This window comes from Homo sapiens, chromosome 8 (assembly GCF_000001405.40).
Source record: "Homo sapiens chromosome 8, GRCh38.p14 Primary Assembly".
Lineage (NCBI taxonomy): Eukaryota > Metazoa > Chordata > Mammalia > Primates > Hominidae > Homo > Homo sapiens.
Window position 1 is genome coordinate 129,076,894 of NC_000008.11, and position 25,748 is coordinate 129,102,641.

Genomic DNA, 25,748 nt, shown 5'->3' on the forward strand with positions numbered 1-25,748 from the left:
GAAGCACTTCCTTCAATACCTGGCACCTACTAAGTGTTAACTAAATGGTTATAATTATAGTTACTCATGTATTCATTCAAAAAGAATGTATTAATCAACTGCTCTGTGCCAGGCATTGCTAGGCAATGTGAGAATACAAATCTGAAAGAGGAGCAGTTTCCACCTTCAAACGTCTCTCAGCACAGCGCAGTGTCCACATGTGTCCTTCACATTTATTCGCATATGTAAATTTTCCCGAGTGTGGACATGTGTGTGTTGGGGGTGCCAGTGGTGTGAATTCTGCATTCTCTGAAAGTGCCAAAGAACAAAGTACCACATTCAAACGTGAGGGGAGGTGGGGCTGCAGCCCCAGGTATCCATCTTTCTCCTTCTCCCGGAGGCAGGCGGCTGTGTACTCTGGGAACACTGACGATGTGGCTATTAAATCATTTCAAGTGGTGGAGCTGGGAGGTCCTGGCCAGGCCCTCCCCCACAACTACCCTATTCTGGCACAAAGAGGGGTGTTATGTCTCACACATACCAACCAGCAGGCCACAGGAAAAGGGCTCCCCTTGCCAAATAATTTTGCCCAGTCCTCCTCTCACACAGGGGAAGCAAAAACCGATCCATTAGCTTGGTTGTCTGGGAGTCCCAGAACTCCTCAAAACAGATCCATCAGTTGAAAGCATAAATATTTACTTTGGGCTCATCTGAATAACCCAGAACAGGGACTCTGTTTTTTATCAGTAATAAAAAACACTCCCACCTAAAGTGGGATTTAGAGCTTTTTGTCTTTCAATCTTGCCTGCCTAGAATCACTCAAACTTTCTGTGAGAGACTATATCAGGATTTCCTCATGGCCTCCAAGCGGGGCTGGGGGCCGGGGGTGCACATGAGCACAAAAGGAATGCTCTCACAGGGGAGCTGTGTTTTCTTTTACTGTGAAAAGTATGTGTGGCCTCAGCCTGGCTCCTAGTACACAGGTAACTGAAATATTTGCCCTTGGGAGAGAAAGCGCAGAATGTTCTCTTAAAATGCTCCAACTGGTGAAATAAGAGATTTTAGATAAACAGCTTTTGAGGGACCCCATTTCCTGAGCTATGCTTTGATCACATGACAACAGCGCCAGCGAAAACACTTTGTTATCCTTTCAAGGGAGATGTTCGAGAAAGAACTTCTGCCTGGGTCATGGAGGTGAGGATTTGGGCATGGTGGAGGGAGTGGGGGAGGGTGGGAAGAGGGGGGTAGGGTACAAGAATAAAAGGAGATGGGATGGGGCTGTTCACAGGCAAATCTGGAGAGTTTGTCTTTCACACTCTCCAGCCCTACTTTCCCTCCTACATCTCTCCCCAGCCCCCTTTCTGGAAGCCAGACTGACCTGGCAGAAAGAGCTCAGATTCAGGAAGCAAAGTAATTGTCTTCAAGCATAGGCCCAACTTAGGCCTGGTGTATAGATATTCAGATAATGTGAAATGAATGAAAAGGTTCTATCATTCTTACTACCATGCAGATTTTTTTAACCCCACCTGGCTTCAATTTCTTTATCTGCCTCACGGGTTAATAATGCTTACCACCAGAGGTGTGTAAAGGTGAATAAGCAAGCAGATAGTGTATGTACCTAGCACAGAGACTGGCCCACTAAATTTTAACATTAAAAGATGTCAAAAGACAAAATTACAACAGATCTAATTGACATTTATTCACAATTCATCAATCAGGGTGGCCTTCATTTTATAAAATAGAGTGAGAGTTCCCATTGGGCAATAGCAGAACATGGGATTTGTAAGATGGGAACAAGGAAACAGAACAATACAAACATACCCACACACACACGTATTTAACATCAGATTACTTCCATTTACTTTTTTATAGGTTTTAAAGCCGAGATGGATTCCTTATTACTCTGACTCAGGTAGACTGGAACTTCCGGTTTTCAGAGAAAAAGATCTGTCCGTTTCAGGATTTATCTGTTTCCTTACAGTTTCAGTTTGATTATGCGGTATTTAGCATGAGTGACTCCATTTTGGTCTGGTCTGGTCTGTTGAGCCCTAGTATAGGAGCTCAGTCCAAAACAATGGGCTCCCATAATTTTGTTAAAAAAGGCTTTGGAAACTGGCAAATGTACAGAAACCAGACTATTTGAAAATCGTCAGTTACTCAGGTTTGCAAGTGTGCAGTCAGTATAAATAAACAACTTCCGTTGAGAGTTTTTGATGCACCGAGTCACTGGCCTTCCAGAATGACTGTTATAAAGGCTAGCTAGCTTTATCAAGCTGGGCAGAGGCTGCCCGTGACTCCAGTGCTATTTCATCTCCTCTAGACATGATCAGGAAATTGTCATTGCAGCAGTAGAAATAGATGGGGAAGCACTTCTCTAACAAGGAAGATACATTTTGTCTCGATTACCACAATGGAGACTGTTGTACTAATTCACCAACATGGTTTAGGCACCTCTAGCAGTACAGTCATTCGTCTCTTAACTACAGGGATTGTCCTGAGAAATGTGACGTTAGGCAAGCTTATCATTGTGCAAATATCATAAAGTGTTAGATGGTCTAGCCTATTGTACACCTAGGCTATATGGTATAGCTTATTGCTGTTGGGTTACAAACCTGTAAAGCATGTTAATGTACTGAATACTGTTAGTGTAATGAATATTGTAGTATACTGAATACTGTAGTCAATTGTAACACAATAGTAAGTATTTTTCCATCTAAAAATATCTGAACATAGAAAATGGTCAGTAAAAATACAGTATAAAAGATAAAATTGATACACCCGTACAGGAGCATCTACCATAAAGTAGCTGTGGGTGAGTCAGTGAGTGAGTGGTGTATGACTGTAAAGACCTAGAACATTACTTTTTTTCTACTTTAAAAAAAAATAATTTCAACTTTTATTTTAGATTCAGAGATACATGTGCAGGTTTGTTACTTGGGTATATTGCATGATGTTGAGGTTTGAGGCACGATGAATCCCAACACCCAGGTACTGAATACAGAACCCAACAGTTAGTTTTTCAACCCTTTCCCTCCTTCCGTTACTCCTCCCTAGTAGTCTCCAGTGCCTATTGTTGCCATCTTTATGTCCGTCAGTACCCATTGTTTAGCTCCCAATTATAAGTGAGAACTTGCAATTTTTAATTTTTCATTCCTACATTCTCTTAGGATACTGACCTCCAGCTGAATATGTGTTGATGCAAAGGACATAATTTCATTCTTTGTAATGGCTGCATAGTATTCTGTGGTGTATATGTACCATATTTTCTTTATCCAATTCACCATTGCTGAGCACCTAGGTTGATTCCATATCTTTGCTATTGTAAATAGTGCTGCGATGGGCGTATATGAGTGCATGTGTCTTTTTGGTAGAACGATTTATTTTTTGTTGGATATATACCCAACAATGTGATTGCTAGGTTGAACAGTTGTTCTGTTTTAAGTTTTTTGAGAAATCTCCAAACTGCTTTCCACAGTGGCTGAACTAATTTACAATCCTACCAGCAGTGAATAAGTATTCCCTTTTCTCCTCAACCTTGCCAACATCTGTTGGTTTTTGTTCAGGTATTTTTAAAGTAAACATTAAGGGCAAGGTTCCTGATATTACAGAATTTATATCCTAGAAGAGGATACAGGTAACAAACAAATAAATGTGCAACTTATTTCAGATATGTTAGATGCTAAAGAAAAGAAAATGTGATAGATGTAAAGCTTCCTTTAGGACTGTTTTCATTCATCTATTTATCCTGTTATTTATTCATCAGTGCTTATCATGCACATAATTTTTTATGTTAAAGATACAGCAGTGATCCAAGCACGGCTGCATTAAAATAAAAGAAAATACAGCAGTGAACAAGATATAATTGTTGTCCTCAAGAGCATACATTAAGCCGAGGAGTCAAAAGTTAAATATTAAAATAATATTGATTATTTAAAGGAGAAATACAGGGTACTATGCGTATAAAACAAGGCATCATACTGTAGTCCTAGGCTGTCACAAAATGCTTCTTGGTAGACTGTTAGAGCAATGGTCATCAATGAATTATATGTGTTCTGACTATACCCTTGTGAGGTCCCCTTCTGCAATGACTATGGGGTTGGCCACATGGTTTTCTTTGGTCAATGGTCAATGAGATATAAGCAAGCCTGAAGTGCACAGAGGTATGAAAAGCACTGTGCACTGGGGCTTGTCTTCTCTTGCTGCTGGTAACTCTTCTGCTACCACATGCAGAAACTCAGGATGACCTGCAGGATATATGTTGCCCCACCAGCAGCTAGCACCCATGGCCAGGTGTATGAGTGAAACATCTGCCTTGGCTTGAATGTGGTATTTCCTCCAAAATTAATGTTGAGACCTAATCACCAAAGTGATGGTATTAAAAGGTGGGCCCTCTAGAAGGCTATTATGTCATAGGGTCTCTACCCTTATGAATGGGAGTGGGTGCCCTTATAAAAAGGCTTGCCAGAGGGAGTTCATCCCTTTATGTCCTAATGCCAATGGCAGCAGCATTCAAGGCATCAATTTAAAAGCAGAGACAGAACCCTCACCAGACAATGAAGTTTCCAGCAACTTGATCTTGAACTTCCCAACCTCCATAACTGTGAGAAATACATTTCTGTTCTTTATAAATTACCCAATCTGTTGTATTTTGTTATAGCAACACAAAGGGCATGATTTCATTCTTTTTTTATGGCTGCATAGAATCAAATCATTCAGCTGAATTTGAGATGACAATGGCTGCAGCTGCATAAATGATCCCAGGTGAGACCAGAAGACCTATCCAGCTAATCTCAGCCCAAATTATGACCCAAAGTGTCATGAACAAATAGAATGGTCATCCTTTTAAGTCAATAAGCTTTGGGATGGTTTGCTATGTGGCAAAGGCTAATTGACATAGAAAAAATACCTAGAAGAGTGCTGCTGTCATAAAACCTAAAACAGGAGTGATGAGCTTTGGGAATGGACAGTAGGTGGAGAACGAAAAAGTTGTGAGAAAGCTGTTATTTACATCTTGTAAAGTAGTGAACACAACTTTTTTATGGTCTTGAAAAGTGCTAAGGAAACTGCCTTTGGAAATTGGAAAACAGTTGATTTGTGTTATGCAGCAGTGTCAAATTGTCATCTGAGTTAGCTGAAAGAAAATATTCCTAATGAATTTGCAGATCTGGCTAAGGATATTACCAGGAAGAACTTTGAAAGTGACAATTGGCTTCCATTAGCTGCATCTGAAAAGGCTGGCGAAGCATGAGATGAGCTAAAGAGAGAACTCTTGAGATTGCAAGCAATATTCAAAGGAATTGTAATGTAATCAGAATTTTCTACATTGAAAAATAAAACTGTTTCACAGCTTTAGTCTCTCCAGATAGCAATAAGATTTCTTATGTAAGAAATGGCCTCAGATTAAAGATCAAATCAAGAGTGTGATTTGATATAACTCCTTGTTAAGATCCCTAAAAGATTGAAAGTTGTACTTAGTAGACCCTCTCAGCTAAACAAAATTGCTTTTAAAAATCTTAATTGCATGTTCCCATAGAAGCTTAATCTCAAAACAGCCCTAAAATGTAGTGGGAGAAGGCTTTCCCAAAAAGAATTTTGGCTGTGGATTTTGAGTACTAGACAAAGGGATGTAAGGTGATACATAGCAAACCCAAAAAGGTTTTAAGGAAGTTATACAATCTGAGATTAAAGGAAATTGAGACCGTCCTCTGGACCCTTCCCCCTACCAAAAAAAAATTTTTGTTTTTGATAAGAGGCAGCCTGAAAAAGAAAATAACTACTTTACAAAATTTTTATAGCATGAGGTGCAAACTAATGCAGGAACAGAAAACCAAACACCACATGATCTCACTTATAAGTGGGAGCTGAACAATGAGAACGCACGGACACAGGGAGGGGAACAAAACACACTGGGACCTGTCTGGGGAGGGCTGTGGGTGGGGGAGAGCATCAGGACAAATAGTTAATGCATGCTGGGCTTAACACCTAGGTGATGAGTAGATAGGTGCAGCAAACCACCATGGCACATGTTTACCTATGTAACAAACCTGCACATCCTGCACATATACCCCGAAACTTAAAATAATAAAATAAAATAATAATTTAAAAAAAGAGCACAGGCAAATAGTAGTTTATAGATCCAATCCCATGAGCAAAACCACAGTAGGGGGCCTGACAACACGTACTTGGCTTTATTTTATGATTTATTTTATGATTTGCCTCCCATTCCTTCCTCTTTTGAATGAAAGTACTATGAATGTTTTGTTCCTGTTTCATCATTGTATATTACATATATGAGGGTAGGTAACTTGTCTTTTCATTTGTCATGTCTGAATCAATGGGAATCATAGCCTAGGAGCTACCCTCAAGAAGCTTCATCTGTATCTAGACCTAATGTGGATTATGAGATTAACAGCTTTGGGTCTGATATCATGATTGAATGACATTTTAGGGCTCTCCCTAGGGTGTTAATTTATTTGGCATGTTAGAGGAAAATGAACCACTGGAGTCAAAGAGAAGACTGTAGGCCTCTTATGCATCATGCCTCCCTGTATGTATGTCTTGGGTAATTTCTTCCCATAGTGGCTCTGGGCTTGGCCATGTGACTTATTTTCACCAATGAAACTTTAGGAGACGTGATGCAAGCAGTCACTTGAAAAGTGTTTGTGCATTGGGATTTGCTTTGTTTTGCTGCTGGGGACCCTGCACCCATGTGAAGAATCATGGGCTAGCCTGCTGGAAACACATGACCCAGCTAAAAGCCAGCACATGCCATAGAAGTGAAACGTAAACTGTCTATTCCTAGTTAATCTTCTGTATGACTGAAACTGCATCAGTGATCCAAGGGGCCAAGCAAAACAACTGCCCAGTCCAGGTTGTTGACCTACAGTTTCATGAGAATAAGTTGGTGTTTTAAACTACTGGGCTTTGGAGCATTTTGTTCCTCAGAAAATGCGAATATGGCTTTCCCAAGGTAAAGATATTTAAATCGAGGTATGAAGGTTCAGTGGAGATTCATTACACAAGGGGGAAGAGGAGCAATATTCCAAATAGAGGGAATAGCATGCATAAAGAAGAACCTGAGGAAGGCATGCAGATGCTAAGTTTGAATGTCTAGAAGAACATCAAAGTGGCTAGGACTAGAAGAGTGAAAATAGTATGAAATAAGTTTGGTGAGGCAGAAGTAGCCAGATTACGCATGTCTTCTTTATTCATCTGTTATTGCTACAATACGGCTGCATAATAAACCACCCTAAAATACATTGACTTGCCACAACTATTACCCATCATACTTCTGCCATCAAGTTTGGGATTAACTGCCTAAACTGAGCTCAGCTACACAGCTTTGTTTCAGAATGGGAGTGAGTCCGGGCTTGGCTCCTCACTGTGGTCTGGACTCAGGTCTTGTCTACATGTTTTCATGCTTAGGCCCAGTCTGAAAGGGCAATAGCTGCCTGGAAAACTCTTCTTATGATGATAACAGAGGTGCAAGAGAGAGACCTAACCCTAACCCCAACCCAGCAAGCACATCTATGTTTTCATCTCATCTGCTACTATCCCTTTGACCAAGGTATGTCACATGAATGATTTCAAAGTCAAAGCGAAGGGAGTACTTTCTGCTCACAAATACATCTCACAAAAGTGAGTCACACTGTTCATCACAGCATTATTCATAGTAGCCAAAAAGTGGAAGCAATCCCATTAGAATGAATTTTAAAAATTTATACTGGTACCATAGAATACTCTTCAGCAATAGAAACAAAGCACTGATACATGCTACAACATGAACTTCAAAAACATTATGCTAATGAAAAAAGCTAGATACAGAGGACTACAGATGTGTGATTCCATTTGTATGAAATTTCTAGAAAAGACAAATCTAGAGAGACACAAAGTCTATCAATAGTTGCCTAGGGGAGGCAATGGGGATTTACTGCAAATAGGCACAAGGAAACTACATTAATGGAAATGTTCTAAAACTGGACTTGGATGATGATTGTACAACTGAATCAATTTACTAAAATTTACTGAACTGTTCACTTACAATAATCAAATCTTGTGGCATGTAAATTATATCTCAATACAGGTATTAAAATGTGTAACTAATGGACTGAATGAACTATGTTATGTTTATGACAATGAAACATATTCAAAGGCACTATTAAATGATTGACCTGATACAATTTGGAAATGCTTGCAAAGCTCTAGCTGACTACTGTTTTTCCTTAAGCAATTTCTGAGGTTAATTATTTTTTTTCTTCAAAAATATCACATGGAATTTTAGAATAATTTTCTTTGGTTATTCAGCTTTGGTTGTAAATAGTAAACATATTTTTAAATTGTGTCCTTTGAGCTACTGCATTTTAAGTTAGTGCATGTGGTAAAAAAAAAAAACTTGGCACACATAAAAGCAGCTGCAATTAACGAAGCATGCCTTACTTATTGACTTTTCATATAATGTGTACAACAGAAACATGCTCTTACAAACAGGTCAAGAACTACAAAATGTTCACTAATTGCTGAAATTTGTTCTCTGTTTGTAATAAAAAATGGATTTAACAATCAGAATAGCTATTCAAGGGGTAATAGAAACAGGAAGGAGAGGCCTCTGTTATTAGCTAATCTAGCAATTACCCCAAATCGGAGCTTATGTTTTACATAAATATCAATGGAGTTTGTTGAGGAGGTGCAGCTGGAGAGGTGAAAGCAGCTGCCTACTCTAATGCAAATTCCTTTGGTTAGGAGAATGCACTAACATTAGGATCTAGGATGAACTTAATTCCCTAAGTGGAAAAATGCCTAGTTCTGTCACAGGCCAACAGCAATTCCTCACACTTCCATTCCAGCACATGGAGAATGTGCCCGTTATGACATCATCTCATTTATGAAGTCCTCCAAGTTATTGTTTGCAACTTGAGCATCTGTACTGATACTAGGTAACTGTGCCTGAGATCTTGGCCCAGGTGAGCTCAGGAAATTGTTTCCTCTGTACCTTCTTTTCATATTTTTTTTTCCCCCAAGAGGGGAGTTTCACTCTTGTTGCCCAGGCTGGAGTGCAGTGGCGCAGTCTAGGCTCACTGCAACCTCCGCTTCCTGGATTCAAGCAATTCTCCTGCCTCAGCCTCCTGAGTAGCTGAGATTACAAGCACCCTCCACTATGCCCGGCTAATTTTTGTATTTTTAGTAGAGACGGGGTTTTGCCATGTTGGCCAGGCTTGTCTCGAACTCCTGACCTCAGGTGATCCACCTGCCTCAGCCTCCCAAAGTGCTGGGATTACAGGCGTTGAGCCACCGCGCCCGGCCCCCTTCTTTTCCTATTAAGAGACTTGGAAGCGAGTTATGAAATGAACAATGAGCACAACAATAACTAAATGTCACAGCTTACCAAATGTCACAGGCATTGCCTCTAAGTTAATATTTATTCAACAAATATTCATGAAGAGCTTTTGTGAGCCTCATTCATTCTGCTAGGTGCTGTATTCATATTATCTCACTCAAACAACTGGCTTGGAAGAAATTCTGCTTGTGGTTCTTAAGGAGTTCATATAATCATTTGATTCTCACAATTTTGTGAAGTCTGTTAAATTAGTAAAAAGCCAATGAAATAATTGAGGACTAATAGAAACAGAAGAAAAAGAAAGGGGGAAACATGCTTATTGAGCATTTATCACATACCAGAAAGAAGGCAAAATAGAATAATGATACAAAGTGTGGTCTTGGAATCAAAGGACCCAGGTACAGAAGCCAGCTTTACCGTTTACTACGTGGCCATGAGCAAATCACTTCAACTTCCAGGGCTTACCTTTCCTCTAGCTTTCCAGCACAAATGGTAATATCTTTCTTAGAGGGACATCATGAAAACAAAATGAAACATCAAAAGCAATAAGTACAGTGCCTGGCACATGGTCCATGACACATAAATGATGGTTGTTATTGTTACCTTCAAGGTCATTGCATTGTGATTCAACCTCACAAGTACTCTATGAGCTAGATACAATTATTATCTCTATTTTACACTTGAGGCCATGAAACCACAGAGTGACCAATAACCAAGGTCACACACTGTGTGATGGATCCAGATATCACATACCTTCAAATCCTGTTCTCTTTCCACTATGCAAACGCTTAATGATTAGGGCCAAGTTATTCACCACTAATAGTGTTGTCATTCTCACTGGAAACATTACCCTTTTCTAATTTACAAGAATTCTATTATTACCTTACATTCTTTTCATATTAATGCACTAAAATACTGGCTATGTCAGAAGAAGGGAAAAGCAAAGGACTAATACACTGAGAACCTGGGCAAAACAGCTATCTCCTGTCAATACAGATCATGGCATGATTAATATGGCTAGGTCAATCATAGCCATGACTTCTAGTAGTTCTTTTCTTGTGTCATCTCTAACTTTTATAGTTCTCTTTATTGGCTTGGTAGAGAAAACAAGACAAAACCAGCCAACCAACCAACCGAGAAACAAAATAATACATCAGCTAGGTATGTGCAGAAAAATTTGTTAGATTTTGGATTACTGTGTAACTAAGGCAGGGTGAACATACTTGATGAACATACTTGATTTTATTTTGTGTTCAGTTTCCCAAAGAGTATATGGAGGTAAAATAAAAACAATAACCATTGCCAATTTTGTTCTTGCACATGCATTATCTGTAAAGCATAATACAGCCTTAAAAGCAATTTCCTTCACTGCAGATGAGAAAACTAAGGCTCTAAGAAGTTAAAGGACCCTCCCATTATTGTCACAGATGATGCACTTAGCATCAGTGATGATGATGAGTATATCAGACTGATTTGTTGTGGAAGAAACACTGGGTTTAGAGCTGGGGCACCATGTTTGAGATATGCTTATTTATAAGGCCCATGTGATCTTAGTAAAAAGCAAGCCACCTTGCTGGGCCTACATTTTCTTATTTGTAAATGAAGGCAAAGCATAGCTGTTTGTCTCTTTAGTGTCTTCCATTTCTCCATGAATTTTGTGTTTAGATCTCAAATGTCACTGGGAGCTAAAGGTTGTCCTATAACTGTCTAGTTCACTCATATATGAGGTTCTGTTACCTTTATTTCCAAACCAATACTTTTGGTAAATCTATGTAGCTGACAATCACAAGGAATGAACTACTTATCTCCACTGTTATGTTTGACTAATTTCCTTTTTCTGGAGAGAACTGGAGGAGGAGGCTGCTGGAATTGTCTTCAGCTCTTCAGTGAACTGCTAATTTGAAACCACAGGGTGCTCTTCCAGAAACTGCAGTCTTGCACCTGATAACCATTTTATGGGAATGTGCCTTGGCCCTTTAGTTGTGGTTCCCCACAAAATGCCATGATGAGTGACATGCTTCCAGCAGATGAAAGCTCCATGGGGGTCTGGGCCAGAGACCTCTGACTATGTCACTTGGCATTTGCTGATTTCTTTCTACTTTCTGTATAAGTGAATGTCCCTGAGCTACACTTTCATTTGGATGTTTAATATTTCAATGAAATTCACATGTGATTAAGTGAAAATGCTATCTCCAGAATGCTGTAAAGTAGACCAACAGAATTAGAGTTTAGCATTTTTTAGGAAGATGTAGGCAAGCTTCTCAACAACGGACCATTTATTTATTTATTTACTTTGGAAGAGTATTATCTTAGCAAAAATCTACACTTCCATGAGCACTGCATTCTTATTCTCTTTCCAGTTAAGGCAGGGAGTAAAGTCAGTATTTAAAAAGGGACAGGAAATGGAAAAATAGTTGCCAAACCCCAGGAATCTAGTATGCACTTAAAAATATATAATATTATCTTTGAAAGGCAGTTTAAAATGGTGAAGAGCCCTGCCTCTGAAACTGCACTGGCCGGTTCAAGTCATAGCCCTGCCATTAAAAATTCCCAGGACTTTGGCCAAAGTATTTCACTTTTGTGCCTCAGTTTTTGCATCTCTAAAATGGGAATACTGATAGTACCATATAAGGTAGTTGTTAAGAGTACAAAGACCTCTGAGATTATGAAGCATTTATGATTTCTCTCATAGTACACTACCTTCCATGCTTATGGCTCTTAAATGACCTAAAATTCGTAAGAAGCAAGAAATATGTTTATTCCCTATTTAATGAGGGCTTATTCTATAAGTAATATGTTAGGTGTAGGGAAACAAAGATTAAATAAATGCACCACTTACCATTCAGACCCTTGCAGTGGGATAAGAACACACACACACACACACACACACACACACACACACACAATAACAATTATAAGTCTTGTGTTTATAGGAAAAACATACCAGTGTGAGGGGTATTTTGTTCTTGGATTTGCTGAGGAAATTATATTTGGCCTGTATATGAAAGAAAGATTGGTGATTGGGCATTGCAAATAGAAGAAATAGCACTGACAAAGACAGGAAGGTACATGATGTCTTTGAAAGCATATTTGCAAAAACAGCCTCATCTTTAGTCGATCATGTGCATGACAATCTCACTCATGTTATTTAAATACCCTAACAATGGGGACCATTTCATTTTTGTACATCCTTAGCAGAATATCTTACATTATAATGCAAGTACAAGAAATATTTGGTGAATTGCTTTGAAATAAAAATGTGATTTAGATAAAAACTGCTAAAGTATTTCACAGGAAAGAGTGGTTCATTCCATTCTGGGGGTTTCATGGAGTTTTAAAATGGATTGGTATGGAATCAAGAGGGTTTTTTTTTAAGTTAATTTTTGGTAGAAAGGAGTCAAATTGGAGCAAACAGCATGAGAAAATGCACTTTTAATGTCACTCAAGTTATTTTTTGGGCTCTAGGAGGCACATAATTAGATATATGTATACACTGGTTCTGGTTCTATGTTATTCATCTCTTCTTTGGCCAACTGTATTTCCTTTCACCTTAAAGAGGTCCATAAGGAGCTCTCAACCAAGTGTCCTATTCTCATTTTACAGGGATGGGCACAAGATTCAATATTGACCAATCAGGGTATGACATCTTACTGGCATCACTAATTAGTCTGGGCAAGGGCAGGTGACCAAATGAGACCAATCAGAATCACCCCTAAGATAATATGACATTATTATAATATATAGCCTGTATATTATAATGTATACTAGTTACGAGATGATCCTTTTCATTTTCGATAATATACTATAACATTCTCACAACAAATGGGGAGAGTCTGTCTGATAATGAGGAAATAAATCAGGAATTGGAAGTTTCTACGAAATTTATGACCTTCTGTCTTCAAAATTTCTCCACCAGTTACGTCAGAGAATAACGTAACTCTCTCTCTCTCTCTCCCTCTTCTTCTCCCCTTCCTCTCTCTCTCTTCCTCTCCTGTTGATTTGTATGTTGTTTCTGCACTTTCACATAGAATAATCTTTCCCAGTATATGATGAGTGGCAAAAGCTGAAGAATCATCATTTTGAGAAACCATTATTTGGGAATCAGAGGTTCAGGTAACATGTGAACATAAATTCTTGCAGGTGTGGCCTTAAAAGCAACTGAGCAAAGAAGCCAGAAAACCAGAATTGAACCCACTGTGAATAACTGACTGGTCAATGAGGCAGAATCTAATGTTGCTCTATTCTGTTAAATATACGGCCTCACACCAGGACATAAAAGTCATGCCACACAAATAACAAGCTACAAAGACTAAATATGTAATCTTAGTCTTTAATGGCCACTTACTATTTTCAATAATTTTTTACTCATTCATAATCCAGTCATTAACTTATCATTAGGGTATTCATTCAGTGAATAAGCTCACAGCCAATTTGAAGAATGTAGGAGAGATGGGATACATTCCAGAAAATGGGAGAGCTCCTGGTTCTAGTACTAGTATATTAGAAATTATTCTCTTCAGTTTTCTGAAGTCCCCTGAAGCATACCTCTAGCCAATGTTTCTGCCAACTAGTGTTGAAACAATTTTGCAATCTTCCACACTGTAGTGATGTCATGATGTCTTTCTGTTAGCAGTGTTGAATCCATGTGAGTCTATAGCATCCTCAATTCTTGCCTCCTCAGAAGAAAGAATTCAACTGAGGGGCATAAGGCAAAGGGAGAGTCCAAGGCAAGTTTTAGAGCAGAAGTGAATGTTTGCTAACAGGTTTTAGAGCAGGAACAAAAGGAAGTAAGTACACTTAGAAGAGGACCAAGTGTGCAAATTGAGATCAAGTGCATGGTTTGATTTTTGACTTGGGATCTTATATGTCAGCATGCTTCCAGGGGGTTGCGTATCTCCTCCCCGATTCTTCCTGTCCGCCTGCGTGGTGACCTCCAGCACTTGTGAGGGGCTGCATGTAGAGTGTGTTTACTGACATTGTACACATGCTCGCTTGAAGCATTCTTTCCTTACCAGTCAAGTGTTCCTAGAAGAAGGTCACATACCAGTTAAAATCTACCATTTTGCCTCTTAGTGTGCATGCTTGAGCCCACTGGTCCCACTCCTAAGATCTTATTGGGAAGCTGCTGATCACCAGCTTCAGGTGTTTTCTCTCCATTGGGAGACTGCCTGTTACCTGGTGCCAGCTGCAACCAATTATTATTTTAGACAGATGGTTCAACAACCAACTGACCATCACCTGGTGGTTACCTGACATTCCTAGGGGTGGTGGAAGCCCCTGTCCTGCCCTGCTCATGTCGACCTGACCACCTACTCCAACACTTCACATGGTCAGAGGACTTGTACCAATTTCTAATTGCCCTCTCATCTTTACCATCTATTTCCTCAACCATATACTTGAAAAATAAGTTAACATGCACTCTGATACCCGTTTAGCTACTTTGTAACACATCCACATTATCTCTTACACATCTTTTGTCAGCCTCATCACTTAAAGAATATCCAGAGTATAAGTGGAGAAAGTAAAGCTCATAGTAAAGTGAATAAGATGTGTTGCACATTGCAGAACATCCTCAATTCACATTAACATGGTAGAACATCATTGCCTGAGGCTATTTATAATGTGGCTCACCAAAACCCATTGCCCCAACTAACTGGCTGAAAGCACAAGTGATTAAAATAAATATTAAAGCATACTGTAGCATGTTGAGATACTATGTATAAACAAAAATATTGCAGAAACAAATAGCTTTTAACTAATCAGTGTTGTATGGAGAGTCATTCCAAGGATGTATGTGTTTTTATTACAAGTGAAGGAATTGCATTAAGAAAAACCTGAAGGTAGACAAGAATAAAGCTTTATGGAAAAATAGTTAGAAACTCAGTTAAGTTAGAGTAAAAGGTGTGTCCAGGAGAGGAAAGAGAAATATATTTGGAAAGACATTTAGAGGGAGAAAGTTTTGGGTGTGCATTGCCAACCTACTGTGTTGAAAAGATATATGAAAATAATAGAAATTCGCCCTCCTTAACCAAATGGACTTCACTCCAGTCATTTACTATATACATCTGCTTACTATGCATATGCATGTGATTCATTATAATCACTAAATATAGGTATGGCTCAATTTTCCTCTATTAATGTGTGATACACAAGGTAGGAAAAAAGCTTAACGCAGACACTGCACACTGAAACTCTCCAATTTTCACATTAATAACATCAGAAACTTGAATGAAAATTGATCTTCCAAAGCAAGATTCTTCTGCTTAACAATACCTGGAACATATCAACCCCTTCTACACCCCCCAATGACATAGTATATTTTAAACTCAACTAAAGGGACTGGTTGAGAAAAACTGAATGATTCCATTTATGGAATGACTTATAAAGTACTTACTAAATAGTTAACAAAAACAGACAAGAAGACAGTTAACATTTTACTGTGTGTCAGTTTCTTAAAACGTAGGTATATATGTCTTAATGTAAGGAGAAACACCCCCTCCCAAGTACATGTCTATATCGTTAGTAAAGATATAAGTCATCTTATATGATTATCTCTCAATTACTTTATGTTGCAGTCAATACTACCAATTAGGAAAGATAATTATACAGAATTCACCTAACAAAATCAGTAAAAAGAGAAGGTAGTATTCCATTTTGCAATTGTAAGTTTTGAATAATGTCATAAATAAGCCTTTTAAAGATTACTCACAAAGAAATACAAAAAAACTACTTTTTAAAGATTTTAAATATGTATCTACATTATAAACGAACAATTTTCTCAATTTTGTATGACTAGATTATCTTCGACATAGTATAAAATACACAATAAAAGCATGTTTTGCAGATTCAAAAACATTATGCTATATCTCAAACAATTTAGAGGAGGAGATAGTATGCTCTGGAAAACTATTAAATGACTTTAACTGTCCCTAAAGACTGTGAAGGAACTGATGTCAAAGTCTCTTATAAAGAGTTTGTGTAAATTTTTAAATGAACAAGAAGTGTAAAAAAAAAATTCCAAATTAGTATATTATTTTATATGTCATTATTTATGTGTAACAAATTATTAAATTTTATAAATAGACATTAGATTTTAAAAATATATCACTAAAATTCGTATATTTGATTGCCCCAAAACATTCTTTGAACTGTCTCCTTGAAAAAAACAGGACACTGCTTTTTATTCTATTCTGGCATAAATGATAATTTTGGCTTCAATAAAATATAAGGCAGTTGGTGAAATCGTTATCCTCATTTTATGTATGAGAATAAAGAGTGTTCTCAGAAGATTCACCAAGGTCATATGATTAGTAAATGTCAGATCCTACAGTCAGTTTACCTGACTACAAAGCTTATGAATGTTCCTCATTCTATTCTTTCTCTCTAGGAAAACAGAACCCATTTGTACAAGCAGGTAAGAGTGTGAGTGCCTACATGTGCACAATGATTATCATTCAAAATATTTATCAAACAGAATGTCATAGATAACAACCAAACAGAATGGATTCCTGACAACTGGAATGGCTGCAATGTGTAAATATGTGGTAGAGCTGTATCATGTGCCCTTAATAAATATCAGTCGTGTCTATGAGTGCACGTGCCTGTGTGTGCAGGCACACTCCCTTAGTTCAGGTGATATCTTAGGTGTATTCCCTCTAATTTCCTCAAATTCAATTTTAAGATCAAAACTTTTGTCATCAGGTAAGGACCTACTATATATGTTCCAGACACACTGTTCTTGACATTTATTACACATGTTCAAATTATACCCCATACACTCCTTTTAAAGATGCTATGAGAGTGTGAATTTAGTTTTGTCCTTCATGTCCTCTTCTAGCATTAAACGTTTTTTGGCTACAGATGGCCAGGTTAGACTCAGTTCTAGGGTCTTAATTGCAACATCTTTCTCTTCCCCTATCAACCCCTTTGTTTCTTTCTGTTGTCTGCGTGTCACAGGAAGCATATGAACTCCCATTGCATGAATCCCACTATTATACTGAGGGCTAAACTGAATATTTCTTTAGGCTCACATCATTTCTTTTTCTTAACCTTTGATTCTTCTTTCTTTGGAAGCTGCTTTCTCCTACACATTCTCCCTTTGAAAATAGGGGCATTCAATTTCACTGCCATTCCTTTAGCTCTTTCTTACTCTCTGATATTGTCTGAATATTTGTATTTCACCAAAATTCATATGTTGAAATCCTAATCCCCAAGGTGATGGTATTTGGAGGTAGGGCCTTTGGGAGGTAATTAGGTCATTAGGGTGAAGCCCTCATGATTGGGTTTCCTGTCCTTAAAATAGAGGCCTCAGCGAGTGAATTCTCTCTTCCACCACAAGAGGATACACAGAAGGTGTCATCTCCAAATCAGGAAGTGGGTCCTCATCAGACATCACATATTCTGATGCCTTGATTTTGGACTTTCCAGCCTCCAGATCTGTGGGAAATAAACTTCTTTTATTTGTAAGCCACCCAGTTTATGGTATTTTATTACAGCAGCCCAAACAGACTAAGACACCCTCTATCTCTTTGAAATGATTCTCATTATAATAGTCACAAGCTCAAGAAAAAAAGCCACTTTCAGGAGCAAGGATAGGATATCATTCCTTAGAATGAATAAAGACATACATATCCCTTTTTCATTTTTTCTTTAAAAAAATTTTTTTTCATTATCTCTTCCTTGTGATTTTCTTACATGTATACCCCTTAAGGTATTATCTGGACCTTCACTTTTGGAGCAATGAGAACAGATATGGTCTTTGGAAATTTAGATTTTCTGGCACCTGTCTCCTAACTTGTATACCTTGTCTCTCTTTTTTCTTCCTACTGGTGAACAATATTACATATTAGATTAGAATGTGTCTATCATTACTAATCAGCAGTACAGCTCTTTAAGTTTCAGTTTCTTCACAGTAAAATAGACATAATAATACCTCCCTTTGTATTTAGATGTGAGGCTAAAATAAATAACAGATACAGAATGCTTAGTAATTGTGAGCTTCTACTTTAATTATTATTTGTCATTGTTCTGCTTTCTCAGCATTCTCCTCTTCCTCCTCCCTCTCTTCCTCCCTCTCCTACTCTGCTTCCTCTTGCTTCTTCTCCTCCTCTTTCTCTTTCTTGTTTTTTTCCTTCTTCTCCTCTGCTTTATCCTCTCTGGCTCCTCTTTGTTCTCCCTGTGCTATTCTGCAGAATTAATGTTAAATTTATCTGCTGAATTTGCTTGACCTTGCACTGATGATATTTACCAACTAAATTTGTCTAGTTCTCCATATATCGTTTCTGCTCTAAGATATAACTTGTACTCTGACCACTTTAGTCCAGTATATTTATTCTACTTCTCCAACACCCAAAAGTGTTGAGTTTTGTGCCAAGTGCCATTTTAAGCTCTCATGATTATAGCAATGAAAAAAAAAAAGAGTAGCCTCTGAGCTCAGAGAACTCTAATGGGTAGAGAAGGAGATATACATAAGCACATAGAGGATGATACGTAATGATATGATTTGGTTCTGTGTCCCCACCCAAATCTCATCTCGAATTGTAATACCCACATGTCAGAGGAGAGAACGGGTGGGAGGTGACTGGATCATGGGGACAGTTTCCCCCATGTTGTTCTCAGGATAGTAAGGGAGTTATCACAGGAGCTGATGATTTTAAAAGTGTTTGGCAGTTCGCCCTTTGCTCTCTCTCTCTCCTGCTGCCATGTAAGATGGGCCTTGCTTCCCCTTCTCTTTCCACCGTGATTGTAAGTTTCCTGAGGCCTCCTCAGCCATTTGGAACTGTGAACCAATTAAACCTCTTTTATTTCTAGATTACCCAGTCTTTGGTGTTATCTTTAAGGCACTCTGAAAACAGACATGTAATAATGAGGGGAAAAAGCAGGGTAAAGAAGGCAAATGGCAATACATAGCAAATGATATCTATCATGTCTCAAAACACCTTAGAGCCTAGTTGTGTGACAGATGAGTAAATAGACAACTATTAAGCACCGTGATAAATACTCTAATAAAGATGTACCCAAGGTATTATGGGAACAAAGAGAGGGAGCACTCAATCCAGCCTGGAAAGACTAAATAAAGTTTCTGAGAGGAGGAGAATCCTTATCTTAGCCCTAAAAGGACAAGCACAAGTCAATAATATTAAAAGATATACAAGGAAATTTCAGAGCAAACAAATGATGCAAAGGCACAAAACAAGAAAACAAAACAAAACAAACAACAACAAAAAACAAGGTATAAAAGGAAAAGAAGAAAATGTGCAAAAAGTTAAGAATATGTAAATTCATTACAGTTATAGGGCTATAGAAAAACCTTGCTGAAGTTTAATATAAGCACCCCCACCTTAGTGCATATCTGCCCTTCTCTTTTTTCTTTTTTCCTTTCTTTCTCTTTTTCTTTATTTCTTCTCTTTCTTCCTTCCTTCCTCTTTCATTCTTTCTCTATTTCTTCTTTCTTCCTTCCTTCCTCTTTTTTTCTTTCTCTCTCTCTCTCTCTCCTTCCCACCTTCCTTACTTCTTTCTGTCTTTCTTTCTGTGAATAGCAGTAAACTCTAATTCCCAGTGTCATATACTTTCAATAAGGCAATTACTCTCTTCATTTCAGGAGGGCACATGTGTGTCAGGACTGGCCAGGCATGGTATTCTATACAATAATTTTTCAATTCAAGCTGAGTCTGAATTGCCTTTTTATGTCTCCCTCAAATTCATAGGTTGAAACCAAATCCTGAGTGATGGTATTAGACGGCCTTTGAGAGGTGATAAGGTCATGAGGATGACCTTCATGAATAGAATTAGTACTCTTATAAAAGAGATCTCAGAGAGACTCCTCATCCCTTCCAACAGATGAAGTTACAGTGAGAAGACAGCATCTACGATGAACTGGGCCCTCATCAGACCCCAAATTTTTCACGCCCAAATCTTGGACTTCACAGCCTCCGGAACTATGAGAAATAATATTTCTGTTGTTTCTAAACCACTCAGTCTATCATATTCTATTACAGCAACCTGAACAATATAAGACAGAAAATTGGGACAGGAAGTAGTGTGATGCTGCAACAAATATCTAAAAATGTGGAAGTGGTTTGAGAACAGGGTGATGGGTAGACTAGAAGAGGTTTGAGGTGCATGCTAGAAAAAGCTTACATTAGCATGAAGGGAATTTAAAGGCAATCCTGGTGAGCCTTCAGAAAAAAAAAAAAAAAGGAGAGCTGCAGAGAAAACCTCAATCTTCCTTTAGAATATCTAAGTAGGCTGGATGTGGTGGCTCACACCTGTAATCCCAGCACTTTGGGAGGCCGAGGAGGGGGGATCACTTGAGGTCAGGAGTTCAAGACCAGCCTGGCCAACATGGTAAAACCTCATCTCTACCAAAAAAAAAAAAATTACAAAAATTTGCTATGCATGTTGACACATGCCTGTAGTCCCAGCTACTAGGGAGGTTGAAGCAGGAGAATTGCTTGAACCTGGGAGGTGGAGGTTGCAGTGAGCTGAGATCATACCTTTGTACTGCAGCCTGGGTGAGACCCTGTCCAAAAAAAAAAAAATCTAAGTAATCCTGAGTAGAGCCTTTGGTGGAAATATGGATAGTAAAGACCACTCTGATAGATCTCAGATAGAAGTCAGAAGCATGTTATTGGACAACGAAGGAGAGATCGTCTTTCTTATAAAGTGCCAAGTAAGTATGCTGTATTATCCTGGTGCCATGGTGTTTTATGGAAGGCAGAACCTGCTAGTTATAAAATTGAATATTTGCCTAAGAAAATATTTATACAAAATATTGATAGGATGACCTGGTTTCTCTGGACTGTTTATAGTAAAGTGTGAGAAAAGAGAAAGAAATTAAATATGAAATTTTTCATCAAAAGAGAAGCAAAACTTAAATATTTGGGAAATCCTTGGCCTACCAATATTGAAAGGAAAAAGAAAGCCTGCTCAGGAGAAAACACAAAGGGTGTGGCCAAAGGACTATCAAATGAGATTATTCAATCATCTAAATGGAAGCTAGGAGTTTTTGTCTAAGACAATGGAAAAAGCCTTTCCCCCTCACCCCTGCCCCAAGGCAATTCAGAGATTATCAGAGGAACCACCTGTGCCTGAGGGACCACGCTGCATCAGCACCTCACATCACAGGCTCTGCTCTTTGCATCTGGTTCCATGTTCTTCAATCCCCCAAGCTTTGGCTTTGGCAGGCTCAGGTACCATGTGGGCCGAAATGGTTGCTGCTTAAGAAGACAGAGGCATTTGACTGCATTCATATGGTGCCATTTCTGCTGCTGCACAAGTCACGGGGCTGTGGCTGCCTCCATCTAGATTTTGAAGGATGGAGCTCCTCTCTTACCAGCGATGAAGAGGGGCAGGGTTCGCTACACACAATGGATTGCTATTTTCACTTTAATTAATTTTATTTTAAAATAATTAAAAATTAGATAAAATATCTTTCATACTTATCACTTTAAAATTTCTTAAAATATTTATAACTTTATGTACATTTAACTTTTTGTCTGGGATCATATGTCATTTGCCTAAAGAAATTTTTAAAAATATCTCTTTCAGTGGAAGTAACTGGTAATGATTTCTCTTAGCTTTAGTGTTTTAAAATTCTTTATTTTATGTAAAGGCTTTTAAAGCCTATTTATAGAAAATTTTATATAAATGTGTATAAAATAACACATATTAAATTATGTATATAATACATACATGACATAGGCATATTATGTATCTTTTTTCTTCCCTGAAGTACTTTTAAGATGCCACTCCATTGTCTTCTGGCTTTCATATCTTCAATTACAAGTCTACTGTAATTCATCTATTTGCTTCTTTGTATTCATTGTGTCTTTTGTTTTTCCTCTCTAGCTTCCATCAAGTTTTTGCCTTTATCTTTCATTTCCAAAAGTTTTAATGTGGTGTCTATAAGTGTTCTTTTTTCTTTTTTGGTATTATCTTGCTTGAAATAATCTTACTCTCTTAGATCTACGATTTGATGTATTTTGTTAGTTTTAGAAAATGTATTTCACCCTCATTTTCTCTTACTTCTCCTTCTGGAATTCCAACTTACATCTTAGACCTTTTGAAATTTTCCCACAGGTCTTGCATGCTGTGTTCTTTTTTGTTTCTCCCCCTCTCTCCCTTTTCTTTATGCTTCAGTGTGGGTTATTTCTATTGATTTATCTTTGGATCACTGATTTTTTCCCCTGGCCATACTGAATCTACAGATGAGCCCATCAGATGTTTTTGTTTTCATCTCTACTGCTTTATTTGTTTGTTTGTTTCTTAGATTTTTCATTTGTCAAAAGATTGTAGTTTCCATGACTCTTGAAATTTCCAATCTGTTTATGCATGCTGTTTATCTTTTCCTCCAGAAACTTTAACATTTTAATCACTATTATTTTAAATTACCTGTTGGAAGAGTTCAACATCTGGATCATCTCTGAATCTGATTCTATTAATTATTTTGTCTCTTGATATTTTATTTTTTGGCTTTATTATATACCTTTCCAGTTTTGAGTAAATATACTTTGTGTTCAGAACACTGTAAAAGTAAGTAAATAGCATTCCCTTGACTTTTGGTTTCTGGGGGGTTTTTATATACTTGGACTAAAACACACTTTGACTTTTATTTGTTTAAAAATTTTAGCTGAATTATACGTAAGCCGCTTGTATGATACTCCATGTCTTTTATCTCATACTTTGCCACTAATGAACAAGTGTTTGTGTCTCACTTCTCAGTAGAAAAAAATTGTCTTTCCTTGTATTTTAACCTATGTGGATGATCTCTAGCTTTATGTTTTACTGGTTTAGGAAAAAATTATTATTTTGTACTTTGTCCTGTACAAAGTATATGTAAGCCTGAAGTTGTCAGTGGCCATCTTGTGACTGAGTAGGAAAAGCTTGCATGATAATAAGGCTAAAACAAGAATTTAGTACTGAGACAACAGAGAAAAAGATGCATTCCTTTTTATTAAAGTAGGCTGAACAATACTCTTCCTAGTTTCATATTTTAGGTGGAAATGTAAACTCTCTCATTTATGCTTTTAAAAAATATTTCTGGAGAACACATGTTGTTTCACTAACCACTCTATGTACTAGTGTAACAAGTTTAAAATTCCAGGTCCTCACTTCAAGAAACTCATAGATTTGGAGGACAAACATATTTCATATTTTAATTCAACTTGGTAAATGCTATTAAGGAAATATGGAGCAAACAGCTATGGAAGTATGGAACACAGTGAACAACTGCATACGGAAGGCATAAAATGGATGATACAGACAGTTACATTTGAGTTGGACTTTAGATAAGAATTCTTATCTCTGTTATGAAATATTCATAAAAGAATGTTACTCAGAAGAAACAGAATTTGAGAATGTAAGAAACTGTAAAAAGTCTGTTATGTCCAAGGAATATTTAGAAGTTTAATGTGGCAGAAACACGGAAGCATGGAGGAGAGGATGTGTATTGAGTAGGAGTCATGTATGGAACAGGACTTAAAAGGAATACCAGATGGTGTATTTTGTTATTATTATTGATTTTTTGATACTATATATGGGATGCACAAGTACTTGATAATACTTGCTGGGTAAATAGATGCAAGTATAATACGTTTAAGCTGAATATCTCATTTTTCCCTCAAGGATCAGTCTTCCCCTTTTTATAGAACAGGTAATTTATGCCCATTCTTTCTACCTTTTTTATCTACTAGTAATTTCCTATTCCCATCTCTCTTGAATGTTAAATTTTAAAATTCATTTATATCACATGAATATCTGTATTTGGAGCTTCTCATGGTAATTGAAAAAGCTGAAAATTTTGGCTGAGATTCTTAAATGGTAGTGATAGCCTGGGACTGAGGAGTGGTTTCCTCCTTTAAGAAGGTTATGTGCAGTCCCCATCTGGCCTGCTTCACAATGCTGACTTTAATTTGTAGGATTTAGAGTTTTCTATCTTTGCTCTGTTATCTTCAAAAACCCCTCCTTTCTATCTGCTTTTCGCTATTCCCAAGCCTTAAGCAGGCCATTTTGCCTGAGGCATTGTACCTGCCAGGACTGTTTTTAAATGCTCAAAATTAATGCCATCCCAGAAGTTAGAGTTTACAAGACACATTCAGGATTTTATTTGTCACTCATCTGGAGAAGTGGGCATAGCAGATATGGAAGGTATTCCCTTTATGCATATGTGTTAAATATGTACAGAAACCGAGGCCTGTATCACAGAGCTAATGAATACAAAAATTGAGCTAGAAATTCACCTCTTTTGTCACTTAGTTGCAGACTCTTTCCTCCAAGACACCAGGTTTCAGATTCTCAGCTATTTTTATGTACCTCCAACCACCACTAAGCAGTCTATTCTTCTCAATAGTCTCCCACCTCGCTGCCTTTCCCCAGGTTTCCACACATTTTTGGTTTCCTTGCTCTGTCTTTCTCACTAACTTGAGGTAGCACGGAATAAAGAGAATGCAAGTTGTTTCTAGTAGTTTAAACATTTCTTCTCCCCTCCAGCTCCAAAAACAAAAGCTGCTGAGTTTATGAATTTAAAAGTAGAAATTAGGCCAGTAATTATAGCTTTGGAGTTGAGGAATTTTCAATGTTTTTTTTTTTTCCTAGAATTATCATCTTGAAGTTGAAACCTGAATTCCCTATCTTCTTCTTCTAGTATTTTCACATGAGAACTACAAATTTATTTACAAAGCATGCCTAATAACCATTAGCAGGATAAGTAAGGGAAGTCAGTTGACATATTATTTGAGTCTGTCTTTCAAAACATCATAATACCACACAGTATGGATTCTCAAAGGAATCAGAATGTTGCCTTTTAAGCAAGACAGGTTTTTAAGAAAAGATTTTCTCCCTTACACAGAGGAAAATTAAAAATTCAGACAAGATCAACTCAAATAGGAATAATGCAAAGATTTGCCATTTGAGTGGAATAGGGGTCGCTCGCCTTTTAAATAACATTATTTATGAATTTGACTTTGGCTGGTCTGTGATTAAATCTTTTTTTTTCCTGGCCAAATATTTGTGACAGGAAAAATGGGAAAATTTTTTTTTACTAATTTGATACTTCCAGAAGTATATTAAATAGAAAGAACTGACCTCATGAATTGAAGGGACATCACATTCAGAAATTCATGGTGTCATTCACAGCAGCCCTCCTTGCTTCCCTGAGCTCTTCTACACCACTGATGATGTTTCTCTGTTGGAGGAGATTACAGCATGGTACAGATGAAAATATGAATTGATCTTTCTCTTTCATCACTAAAAAAATACACAAGTATAGTGTCCAAAGCAGTAATTTACATCAAATAAAATTATTCTGGGTATTATATTTTGCAAAATTTATAATTTTATGTCAAAAGGTTAAGAAAGGCTATAGGTAATTTCTTCACTTAGAATAGTTTCAGGATCCAGAGTAACATGAATATGGATGTGTGTAATGGCATCTGGC

At 37.6% G+C, this 25,748-nt stretch overlaps 1 long non-coding RNA gene across 1 annotated transcript; it reads left to right on the forward strand.

The window, feature by feature from the left end:
* Nucleotides 1–512: 512 nt before the first annotated feature.
* LOC124902023 (uncharacterized) lies at nucleotides 513–25,310 on the forward strand. Its single transcript, XR_007061111.1, has 2 exons — nucleotides 513–1,173; nucleotides 20,020–25,310. It is a non-coding gene; the product is annotated as an uncharacterized LOC124902023 (long non-coding RNA).
* Nucleotides 25,311–25,748: the final 438 nt, after the last annotated feature.